The following is a 13,197-nucleotide window of genomic DNA, read 5'->3' as shown; positions in this document are numbered from 1 at the left end:
TGTTTTATCAGAGACTAGGATTGAAACCCCTGCTTTTTTTTTTTTTTTTTTTTTTTTTTTTTTGCTTTCCATTTGCTTGTTAAATATTCCTCCATCCCTTTATTTTGAGCTTATGTGTGTCTTTGCACTTAAGATGTGCACGTGAGATTTCCTAAATACAGCACACTGGTGGGTCTTGGCTCTTTGTCCAATTTGCCAGTCTATATCTTTTAATTGGGGCATTTAGCCCATTTACATTTAAGGTTAATATTGTTATGTGTGAATTTGATCCTGTCATTATGATGCTAGCAATATTTTCAGGAGGAGTCATGAGACACTGTCAAAGTTCAAGAAATAACTAAAAGCAAAAAAATAACCTGAGACTCCTTTCTGCATTACCACCAGCTGCCCAGTACACTGGGTCACCTTTTACAGCAGTAAGCACAGCAATCCATGCCACAAAAATCTTCACAAAACAAGAAGAAAAAGTACACAAATAATTATATTAAAACAGTAACTTACATTTGTGTGTATGAGGGAGAAATACTTAAAATTAAAATATTATATAATCACAAGAAAGCCCAGATAGTCCTTGGGCAACCAAGAAAATTAAAGCCTGTTTTATATCCCAATACAGAAGCGAGACTTGATATAAGTAACAGTGCTCAGTGCTTGCAACCCCAGTCAATTTTTACTCATGTTAGATAAGTTTAAATTCTAAAGGCTACAAAAATCCTGATGAATCTAGGGGAAATAATTGATTTTAAAACAAAGTTATTCAAGATGAAAGAATGGCATGTCTTCAGTTAGAGAACTGCCTGCTATCAGGTGATTTCTTGCTAATGTGTTTAAAGATTTTGGACTTCTCAACTTTGGTAGCCAAATCCACCACCACCTCCTTGCTTTTTCTGCTTGCCTTCATTGCTCTTGACTTTCAGATCAATAAAGGGAGGCACCTTGAAACCAAATGACAGAGCAACTTGAGAAAAATTTAAGTTATTAACATTAAAGATCTGTTTCAGAGAATGGGAATCATAGGTTTGTATGTATGACTTACATGTTTCCTGGGCTGACTTATGAAGAAAGTAATTCTTTTTAATCAGTTTCTCAAGTTGAGACTGAATGTCAGAAATTTTAGACCAGGAAAAGTGAAATTCATTTAATGGAACCTTGGATTGTTTCAAGTAGCAAAGAAAACCCAATTTTCTCTCCCATTTAGGCCTCTGGCTGTTCTACCCACACTATGAATATATTCCTTAGGGTCATCCGGAGGGTCATACTGAACAATGCAGTCCACTTCAGTAATGTCCAGTCCTCTTGCTGCCACATCTGTGCACAATAGTGTTCCCAAATCTGCGCTGGAGAATTGGAAGAATGTGGTTGTATGCTTACTTTGCTTTTGCTTTTCATGAATGGCCAAGATGAGCAAATAAATGTAGTTCAGCAACTCACAGTGGTATTTCATGGACATACAAGATGAAAAGAAGACCATAAGCTTCTTCTTTCAGTTCTTAAGGAATGTAAAGAGCAGAAGGAATCTGTTTTCATAAGGACAAACAACATATCCTTGCTCAAGACCATACACTGTTTCATTAGCATTATCATCATCATCACCAACATAAACGGCTCCTTTTTCAAAGAAATCCTTGCCAGGTCTTCAACTTTTTGAGTTTGGGTGGCAGAAAAGAGCATAGTCTGTCTATGAGTTAGCAAAAGTTTAATAATTTGCTTTAACTCCTCTTCAAACCCAACATCCAAGATACGATCAGCTTCATCAATAACCAGACACTGCAGGTTTTTATACATAAACCCTGGGGTATTCTGCATATGGTCCAGCAGACGGCCTGATGTGGCCACAATGATGTTGATCCCATTAGCAAGTTTCCATGCTTCAGCAGATCTGTTACTCCCACCCATTATCAACCCATAGGTATGCACGTGGTGAGTCATTAGCTCCTTAAGAACCACCAAAAGTTTCCATGGCTAGTTCTCCAATAGGTGAGAGAATAAGGACTCCTATTCCATTCCTGGGCATGAACTTTAACTTAACCATGAGTTCAACTGCAGGGATAAGAAAAGCCAGGGTTTTACCACTTCCTGTTTTTGCAGCTGCTAGACGATCCCTGCTTTCCAGAAGTGGTCTGATACTTTTATGCTGAATTTCCGTCATATTTGTAAAACTCATTTCTTTTATTGCCTTCAGAGTGTTTTCATTGACAAGATTATACAGAGAAGCAAATGAAGTATATTCAACAGCTCCTGTCAGTCCCAGGGGCAGGCTGGGCACCTCACTGTCATCTTCATCATTATCTGGCTTCTCCACATTATTTTCTGTTTCTTTAGGATTCTTGGCACTTTCTTCTTGAGATTCCCCTTTGTTTTCAGTTTTTGCTTTTTTTTTGTATCAGGCCCAGCATCATTCATCATTTTTCTTTTTTTCTTCTTCTTTTTTGATTCTGGATTGGGAGACTGCATTGCTGTTTCTCCGTTGGTTAATACAGTGGATTTCTGGGGAGATTTTTTAACTTTTATATTTTACACTGCTTCTTGAGACACATCTCCACTTTGAGCTTCTGATAAGCCCACATTCATAGAATGTTTGATTTTTTAACCTTTCCATCTCCCATTGTTTCTTCAGACACATCTCCATTTTGAGTTTCTGATAGGGTCAGATTTGAGGCCCCCTGCAACTTTAGGTTCCGCTGCCGCAATTTGAGGTTCTGCTTCTAAATCTTCTTGCACAGGAGTTTCATCAGCAGGTGAGACATGCTGTCCAAGAAGTGCCTAGACCACGGCGCCACACAGTACATCTACTGAATTCTCCGAGCTGATGTTATTTCCCTTCCGGGGGCACGTGTGCTGCTCAGCCAACCGGAAATGCCTGTAGTAGATCTTTCTTACTATGTGGATTCAAACATGTCATGAGCCCATAATGTTTTTTAAACACCACTTATAATCAATGTCTGTCATCACATCTTTAACTTATCCTAGGCATGTTAAATTCTATTTATTCCCATATAATGTTATCATTAATAGAATAGCGGATTTCAGAACAAAATCTAAATCGTTAAGTAAAATAGAGATTAGATAATATACAGGCTCTAGTATATTTTACATATAATATACTTTCAAAATTTAAATAAAAACTTGAGTTTGATAAATGATATTATCCTCACAGGGGAAGATAAAATATTTTCCTTCACTCATTGCTAGGTTCATTGTGGCAGTCCTGATAACAAATGACAGATTAATAAGAGAAAAGTATACATGTGTATTTAATACGCTTTACATGACACAGGAGGCTTCATAAGGAAATGAAGACTCAAAGAAATGGATAAACCAGTGTATTTTTTAAGCCAATGTATTGTTTTGTGGTAGGTTTCATGAAGAAATCGACAGTTGTGGAACAGTATAATTGGGTAAAAAAGTATGATTAAAATGGCAATAAACTGGGGGGTACTTAGCAAGACTTGTTTATTCAGATTTGTCTCTGTGACTCTGTGTCTTCAGAGGTAAGAATGTTTCTTTCCTCCAGGCATAGGTAGGGTAACTCTTCAATAAGTGTCTTGTGACCTGCTTCTGAAGAAATTCAGAAAATCCTTTTTAGGTTTTATCACTTGCTTCAGGAAAGAATGGCTCGGGGAAGGTAAAAATGACTTTTTGGCTTCTGATGTGTTTTCAAATGCCAAGGTGCCACATTTTGGGGTAGACCCTCCTGAACCCCATCATCTTTAAGAAGCAGTGCTATCTCTGTTGATTTTTCTCTATGGAAGGCATTAAGAACCCCACTGTTTTATCTCCTTCATTAATTCATTCAATTCTAATTGGAGATCTACATCATACAAGGTACTATGCCAAGAGCTAAAAAAAAAAAAGTGCCAGGAGGAACCCCAAATGTTTTGGTGAACTAATGCTGAATCATACTCTGACACATAGTAGGTATTCAATAAATATTAGTTAAATAAGTACAATTTCAATATTTTCTCTATCAATCTTACCTTTTACAAATCAATTTAACCTTCCCACCTATTTGCCTTCCCAGATAGCCCAGGAAAGACCAAAGGAAAGCAGATGTACTGTCGTACTGTGTATAGCTTACCTATATTGACCCATGCACAAGATGAATCACAAGATATCGATATTTATAAATGCAGAGGGATTTTGTATTCTTTCAACATAAGTTTTGGTTTAAAATTAATCAGACATACCAATTAACAGAGCCAAATCTACCTATAGAATATTTTCAGTTGACCTAGTGGCCATGACATTGAGTATTCTTTTTTATTCCTATCAAATTTGTTCACATTTAAAAAAATCAATGTTTACTTTGTGTGGGTACGTAATAGTATATATTTATATGGGACATGAGATGTTTTGATACAGGCATTCAATGTGTAATAATCACATCATAGAAAATATTCATCCCCTCAAGCATTTATCCTTTTTGTTACAAACAATCAAATTATCTCTTTTAGTTATTTTAAAATGTCTAATTAAATTATTATTGACTATAGTCACTCTGTTGTGCTATGAAATCCTAGGTCTTATTCATCTTCCTAACTTTTTTGTATCAATTATATGCTTTTAGTTATTTTAAAATGCACAATTGAATTATTACTCAGTATGATCACTCTGTTGTGCTATGAAATAATAGGTCTTATTCATTATCTCTAACTATTTTTTGGTATCAATTATACTCTTTTAGTTATTTAAAAATGTGCAATTAAATTATTATTGACTGTAGTCAATCTGTTGTGCTATGAAATACTAGCTCTTATTTAGTCTTTCTGTTTTTTTTGTATCCACTAACCATTTCCACTTCTCCCCAGCTTTTTCCCACTACCCCTGCCAGCCTTTGGTAACCATCCTTCTATTCTCTGTCTCCATAAGTTTAATTGTTCTGATTTTTAGTTTGCACAAATAAGTGAGAACATGCACAGTTTGTCTTTCTGTGCTTGACTTACTTTACTTAACATAATGACCTCCAGTTCCATTCATGTCGTTGCATATGACAAGATCTCATTCTTTTGTATGGCTGCATAGTACTCGCTTGTGTATATGTACCACATTTTCTTTATCCAATCATTGGTTGATGAACACTTTTGTTGTTTCCAAATCCTGGCAATTTTGAACAGTGCTGCAGCAAACATGGGAGTGCAAATATCTCTTAGATATACTGATTTTCTTTCTTTTGGGTGTATACTCAGCAGTGGCATTGCTAGATTGGATGGTATGTCTATTTTTGTCTTTTTGAGGAATCTCCAAACTCCCCTCCAAATTGGTTTTACTCATTTATATTCTAACCAACAGTACACAAGGTTTCCCTTTTCTCCACACCCTCTCCAGCATTAGTTATTGCCCATGTTTGGATAAAAGGCATTTTAACTGGGGTGAGAAGATATCTCATTGCAGTTTTGATTTGCATTTATCTGATAATCAATGATGTTGAGCATCTTTTCATATGCTCATTTTCCATTGGTATGTCTTCTTTTGAGATTCAAATCTTTTGCCCATTTAAAAATTAGATTATTAGATATTTTTCCTACAAAGTCATTTGAGTTTCTTATATATTCTGGTTATTATTCTCTTGCAGATGCATAGTTTGCAAATATTTTATCCTATTCTGTGAGTTATCTCTTCACTCAGTTGATTGTATCCTTTGCTGTGCAGAAGTATTTTAACTTAATATGATCTCATTTGTTTATTTTTGCTTTGGTTGCCAGTCGTTTGTGGGGTGTTACTCAAGAAATTTTTGACCAATATCTTGGCGAGTTTTTCCAATGTTTTCTTGTAGTAGTTTCATAGTTTAAGAAGGTCTTAGATTTAAGTCTTTAGATTAATGTCTTCAAGTTAAGTCTTTAATCCATTTTGATTTTATTTTTGTATGTGACAAGAGATAGAGGTCCAATTTCATTCTTCTGCATATGGATATTAAATTTTCCTAGCACCATGTATTGAAGAGACTGTTGTTTCCCCAATATATGTTCTTGACACCTTTATAAAAAATGAGTTCAGTGAAAGTGTTTGGACTTGTTTGTGGGTTCTCTATTCCATTCCATTAGTCTATGTGTCTGTTTTTATGCAATTTCCATGCTGTTTTAATTACTATAGCTAAATAGTATTATTTGAAGTCAAGTAAAGTGATTTCTTCAGTTTTGTTCTTTCTGCTCAAGATAGCTTTGGCTATTCCAGGACTTTTGTGGTTCCATTTAAGTTTTAGGATAGTTTTTTCTATTTCTGTGAATGTCATTGGTATTTTGACAGGGATTGAATTGAATCTGTAGACTGCTTTGGGCAGTATGGAAATTTTAATAGTATTGATTCTTCCAATCCATGAACATGAAATATCTTTCTGTTTTGTGTGTGCGTGTGTGTCCTTCAATTTCTTTCATCAGTGTTTTACAGCATTCATTGAAGAAATCTTTTATTTTGTTGATTAAGTTAATTCCTGACATTTTATTTCATTTGTGGATATTGTAAGTGGGATTCCTTTTTTGATTTCTTTTTCAGATTATTCAGTGTTGGCATACAGAGATGCTACTAATTTTTGTATGTTGATTTTGTACTCTGCCACTTTATTGAATTTGTTTATCAGTTCTAATAGTTTTTTTTTGGGTAGAGTCTTTAGATTTTTCCAAATATAAGATCCTATGTTCTGCAAAGAAGGATAATTTGATTTCTTTCTAATTTGGATGCTATTTATTTCTTTCTGTTGTTTGCCTGCTAAACCTAGGACTTCCAGTGCTATATTGAGTAACAGTGGTGAAAATTAGCATCCTTATTCTGTTCCACATCTCAGAGGAAGGGCATTCAGTTTTCTTTTATTCAGTATGATACTAGCTGTATGTTTTTCATATATATCTTTTTATTATGTTGAAGTATGTTCCTTCTATATGCAGTTTTTTGAGAGTTTCTATCATGAAAGGATGTCAAATTTTATCAAATTTTTTTAGCATCAATTGATATGATCATATGGTTTTTTGTCCTTCATTCTGTTGATATGATGTACCACATTTATTGATTCATGTAAATTGAACCAACCTTGCATTTCTGGGATAAGTCCCCTTGGTCATGATAAATTATCTTTTTAATGAATTGTTTAATTCAGTTTGCCAGTATTTTGCTGAGAAGTTTTGCTTCAATGCTCATGAGAGATATTGGCCTATAGTTTTCTTTTCTTGATATGGTCTGATTTTGGTATCAGGGTAATACTGGGCTTGTAGAATGCATTTGGAAGTATCCCCTCCTTCTATACTTTTCGGAAAAGTTTGAGTAGAATTGGTATTATTTCTACTGTAAATGTTTGGTAGAATTCAGCATTGAAGCCATCAGGACCTGGGCTTTTCTTAGCTAGGAGAACTTTTTTTTCTTTATTTCTTCTAAAAAACCAAAAAACCAAAAACAAAAAATGAAATACATGCGAAGAACCTGCAGGTTTGTTACGTAGGTATATATGTGCCAGAGTGGTTTGCTGTACCTATTGACCCATCCTCTAAGTTCCCTCCCCTCACCGCCCACATCCCAACAGGCCCCTGTGTGTGCTGCTCCCCTCTCTGTGTCCACGTGTTCGCAATGTTCAGCTCCACTTATGAGTGAGAATATGTGGTGTTTGGTTTTTTGTTCCTGTGTTAGTTTAGTCAGGATGATAGCTTCCAGCTTCACCCATGTCCCCGCAAAGAACGTGATCTCATTCTTTTTTATGGCTGCATAGTATTCCATGGTGTATATGTACCACATTTTCTTTATCCATTCAATCGTTGATGGGCATTTGGGTTAGTTCCATGTCTTTGCTATTGTAAATAGTGCTGCAATAAACATACCTGTGCATGTGTCTTTATAGTAGAATGATTTATATCCCTTCTACTATATAAATCATTCCTGTAGTAGAATGATTTATATGGTAGAATGATTTATAATCCCAGAAATGGGATTGCTGGGTCCAGTGGTATTTCTGATTCTACATCCTTGAGGAATCGCCATACTGTCTTTCACAATGTTGAACTCATTTACTTCCCACCAACAGTATAAAAGCATTCCTGTTTCTCCACAGCCTTGCCAACATCTATTGTTTCCTCTCCTGACTTTTTATTGATCACCATTCTAACTGGTGTGTCTTATTGTGGTTTAGATTTGCATTTCTCTGGTGATCAGTGATATTAAGCTTTTTTTTTTTTATGTTTGTTGGCCAAGTAAATGTCTTCTTTTGAGAAGTGTCTGTTCATATCATTTGCCCAGTTTTTGATGGGGTTGTTTGCTTTTTCTTGTAAATATGTTTAAGTTCCTTGTAAATTCTGGATATTAGGCCTTTGTCAGATGGGTAGATTGCAAAAATTTTCTCCCATTCTGTTGGTTGCCTATTCACTCTGAGGGTAGTTTCTTTTGCTGTGCAGAAGCTCTTTAGTTTAATTAGATCCCATTTGTCAATTTTGGCTTTTGTTGCAATTGCTTTTGGTGTTTTTGTCATGGTCTTTGACCATGCCAATGTCCTGAATAATATTTCCTAGGTTTTCTTCTAGAGTTTATATGGTTTTGTGTATTACATTTAAGTATTTAATCCATCTTGAGTTAATTTTTGTATAAGGTGTAAGGAAGGCGTCCAGTTTCATTTTCCTGCCTATGGCTAGCCAGTTTTCCCAGCACCATTTACTGAATAGGAAATCCTTTCCCCATTACTTGTTTCTGTCAGTTTCATTGATGGTCAGATGGTTATAGATATGTGGTGTTATTTCTGAGATCTCTGTTCTGTTTCATTGGTCTATATGTCTGTTTTGTACCAGTACCATGCTGTTTTGGTTACTGTAACCCTGTAGTATAGTTCGATGTCAGATAGCGTGATGCCTCCAGCTTTGATCTTTTTGTTTAGGATTGTCCTAGCTATATGGGGTCTTCTTTGATTTCATATGAAATTTAAAATAGTTTTTTCTAATTCAGTGAAGACTGTCAATGGTAGTTTGATGGGAATAACGTTGAATCTATAAATTACTTTGGGCACTATAGCCATTTTCATGATATTGATTCTTCCTATCCATGAGGATGGAATGTTTTGCCATTTGTTTGTGTCCTCTCTTATTTCCTTGAGCAGTGGTTTGTAGCTCTTCTTGAAGAGGTCTTGCACATCCCTTGTTAGCTGTATTCCTAGGTATTTTATTTTCTTTGTAGCTATTGTGAATGGGCATCCACTCATGATTTGGCTCTCTATTATTGGTGTATAAGAATGCTTGTGATTTTTGCACATTGATTTCGTATTCTGAGACTTTGCTGAAGTTGCTTATCAGCTTAAGGAGATTTTGGGCTGAGATGATGGGGCTTTCTAAATATACAATTATGTCATCTGCAAGCAGAGACAACTTGATTTCCTCTCTTCCAATTTGAGTACCGTTTATTTCATTCTCTCACCTGATTTCCCTGGCCAGAACTTCCAATATTATGTTGAATAATTATTGGGATAGAGGGCATACTTGTACCCGTTTTCAAAGGGAATGCTTCTAGCTTTTGCCCATTCAATATGATATTGGCTGTGGGTTTGTCATAAATAGGTCTTATTATTTTGAGATATGTTCAATCAGTACCTAATTTATTGAGAATTTTTAACATGAAGGGATGCTGAATTCTATCAAATACCTTTTCTGCATCTATTTAGATAATCATGTGGTTTTTGTCATTGGTTCTGTTTATGTTATGGATTATAGTTATTGATTTGAGTATGTTGAACCAGTCTTGCATCCCAGGGATGAAACCAACTTGATCATGGTGGATGTTTTTTGATGTGCTGCTGGATTTGGTTTGGCAGTATTTTATTGAGGATTTTTGCATTGATGTTCATCAGGGATATTGGCCTGAAATTTTCTTTTTTTTGTTGTGTCTCTTCCTGGTATTGGTATCAGGATGATGCTGGCTTCATAAAATGAGTTAGGGAGGAGTCCCCCTTTTTCTATTGTTTGGAATAGTTTCAGAAGGAATGGTAGTAGCTCCTCTTTGTATTTCTTGTAGAATTCAGCTGTGAATCCATCTGGTCCTGGGCTTTTTGTGTTTGGTAGGCTATTAATTACTGCCTCAATTTCAGAACTGGTTATTGGTCTAATCACAGATTCAACTTCTTCCTTGTTTCGTCTTAGTAGGGTTTATGCATCTAGGAATTTATCCATTTCTTCTAGATTTTCTAGTTTATTTGCATAGAGGTGTTTATAGTATTCTCTGATGGTAGTTTGTGTTTCTTTGGGGTCAGTGGTGATATCCCCTTTATCATTTTTTATTGTGTTTATCTGATTATTCTCTCTCTTCTTTTTTATTAGTGTAGCTAGCAGTCTATCTGTTTTACTATTTTTTTTTTAAAACAAACAGCTCCTGGATTCATTGATTTTTTTGGAGGGTTTTTCGTGTCTCTATCTCCTTCAGTTCTTTTCTAATCATAGTTATTTATTGTCTTCTGCTAGCTTTTGGATTAGTTTGCTCTTGTCTCTCTAGCTCTTTAATTGTGATATTAGGGTGTTGATTTGAGATCTTTCTAGCTTTCTGATATGGCATTTAGTACTATAAATTTCCCTCTTAACACTACTTTAGCTGTGTCCCAGAGATTCTGGTATGTTGTTTCTGTGTTGTCATTGGTTTCAAAGAACTTCTTGATTTCTGCCTTAATTTCATTATTTTCCCAGGAGTCATTCAGGAGGAAATTGTCAATTTCCATGAAATTGTGTGGTTTTGATTGAGTTTCTTAATCCTGAGTTCTAATTTGATTGCACTGTGTTCTGAGAAACTGTTTGTTATGATTTCCATTCTTTTGCATTTGCTGAGCAGTGTTTTACTTCCAATGATGTAGTTGATTTTAGAATAAGTGCCATATGGCACTGAGAAGAATGGTGTATTCTGTTGATTTAGGGTAGAGAATTCTGTAGACCTCTAATAGGTCCACTTGATCCAGAGCTGAGTTCAAGTCCTGCATCTTCTTTTAAATTTTCTGTCTCATTGATCTGTCTAATACTGACGATGGGTTGTTAAAATCTCCTATTATTATTGTGTGGGAGTCTAAGTTTCTTTGTAGGTCTCTAAGAACTTGCTTTATGAATCTGGGTGCCCCTGTATTGGGTGCATATATATTCAGAACAGTTACCTCTTCTTGTTGAATTGATCTCTTTACCATTGTGTAGTGCCCTTCTTTGTTTTTTTTTTTTTTTGATCTTTGTTGGTTTAAAGTCTGTTTTGTCAGAGATTATGATGGCAATCCCTGCCTTTTTTCGCTTTCCATTTGCTTGGCAAATTTTTCTCCATCCCTTTATTTTGAGCTGTGTGTGTCTTTGCACATAAATGGGTCTCCTGAATACAGCCCACCAATGGGTCTTGACTCTTTATCCGGTTTGCCAGTCTGTCTTTTAATTGGAGCATTTAGCCCATTTACATTTAAGGTTAATATTGTTATGTTTGAGTTTGATCTGGTCATCATGATGCTATTTGGTTATTTTGCACACCAGTTGATGCAGTTTCTGTGTAGTGTCATTGGTCTTTATATTTTGTTGTGTTTTTGCAGTGGCTGGTACTGGTTTTTCCTTTCCATATTTAATGCTTCTTTCATGAGCTCTTGAAGGGCAGGCCTGGTGGTAAGGAAATCCCTCAGGATTTGCTTGTCTGGAGAGGATTTTATTTCTCCTTCACTTATGAAGCTTAGTTTGGCTGGATATTTCACTGGGAATTCTGGGTTGAAAATTCTTTAATTTAAGAATGTTGAATATTGGCCCTTAATCTTTTCTGGCTTGTAGAGTTTCTGCTGAGAGGTCCACTGTTAGTCTGATGGGCTTCCCTTTGTATGTGACCTGGCCTTTCTCTCTAGCTGACCTTAACAGTTTTTCCTTCATTTTGACCTTGGAGAATCTAATGATTATGTGTTTTGGGGTTGATTTTCTCATGGAGTATCTTAATAGTGTTTTCTGTATTTCCTGAATTTGCATGTTGGCCTGTCTTACTAGGTTGAGGACGTTCTCCTGGATAATATCCTGAAGTTTTCAGCTTGTTTCCATTCTCTCCATCTCCTTCAGGTACTCCAATCAATCGTAGGTTTCGTTTTTTTAAGAAGTTGTATATTTCTTGGAGGCTTTGTTCATTTCTTCTCATTCTTTTTTCTCTATTCTTGTCTTCATGTCTTATTTCAGTAAGGTGGTCTTCAAACTCTGATTCCTTTCTTCCACTTTGTCAGTTTTGGCTTTGATACTTGTCTATGCTTCACGAAGTTCTCATGCTGTATATTTTAGCTCCATCAGGTCATTTATCTTCCTCTCTAAACTGGTTATTCTATTTAGCAATTCCTGTAACCTTTTATCAAGGTTCTTAACTTCTTTGCATTGGGTTAGAACATGCTCCTTTAGCTCATCATAGTTTTTTATTACCCATCTTCTGAAGCCTACTTCTGTGAATTCGTCCACCTGATCCTCTGCCCTGTTGTTCTGCGCCCTTCATGGAGAGACATTGTGATCATTTGGAGGAGAAAAGGCACTCTGGCCTTTTGGGTTTTCAGCATTTTTTTCATTGATTCTTTCTCATCTTCATGAGTTTGTCTAGTTTCGGTCTTTGAGGCTGCTGACCCCTGGATAGGGTTTTTATGGGGGCCGTTTTTGTTGTTGTTGTTGATGCTGCTGTTGTTGCTTTTTGTTTGTTTTTGTTTCAACAGTCAGGTCCCTCTTCTGTAGGGCTGCTGCAGTTTGCTGAGGGTTCACTTCAAACTCTATTCATCTGATTTGCTCCTGTGCCTGGAGATGCCACTCAAGGAGGCTGGATAGCAGCAAAGATGGGTGCTTGCTCCTTCTTCTGGGACCTCTGACCTTGAGGACAACCAACCTGATGCCAGTAGGATTGCTCCTGTATAGGGTGTCTGACAACCCCTGTTGGAGGTTTTCACCCATTTGGGTGGCATGGGGAGCAGGACCCATTTAATGAAGCACTTTGTCCCTTGGTGGAGAGGGTGTGTTTTGCTGGGGGAAATCCTACTCATCTGGGCTGTCTGCATTTCTCAGAACTACCAGGAGGAAAGGCTAAGTCTGCTGGTGCAGAGAGACTGCGACCATCCCTCCCTCTAGGGGCTCAAGCCAAGGGAGATTTAAATTCTGTCCTTGAGCCTCTGGCTGGAGTTATTGGAGATCCTACAGGGAATCTCCATCCACTGAGGAAGGATGGGTCAGAATTATAACTGAAGAGGCACTCTGGCCACAGACTGCCACAACTGGTGTGTTGGCT

The 13,197-nt window shown here is 36.4% G+C and overlaps 1 pseudogene; it reads right to left on the bottom strand.

The window, feature by feature from the left end:
- DDX18P4 (DEAD-box helicase 18 pseudogene 4) lies at window positions 277-2,835 on the bottom strand (annotated as a pseudogene).

This window comes from Homo sapiens, chromosome 5 (assembly GCF_000001405.40).
Source record: "Homo sapiens chromosome 5, GRCh38.p14 Primary Assembly".
Taxonomy (NCBI): domain Eukaryota; kingdom Metazoa; phylum Chordata; class Mammalia; order Primates; family Hominidae; genus Homo; species Homo sapiens.
This window is presented reverse-complemented; position numbering and strand designations above follow the sequence as displayed.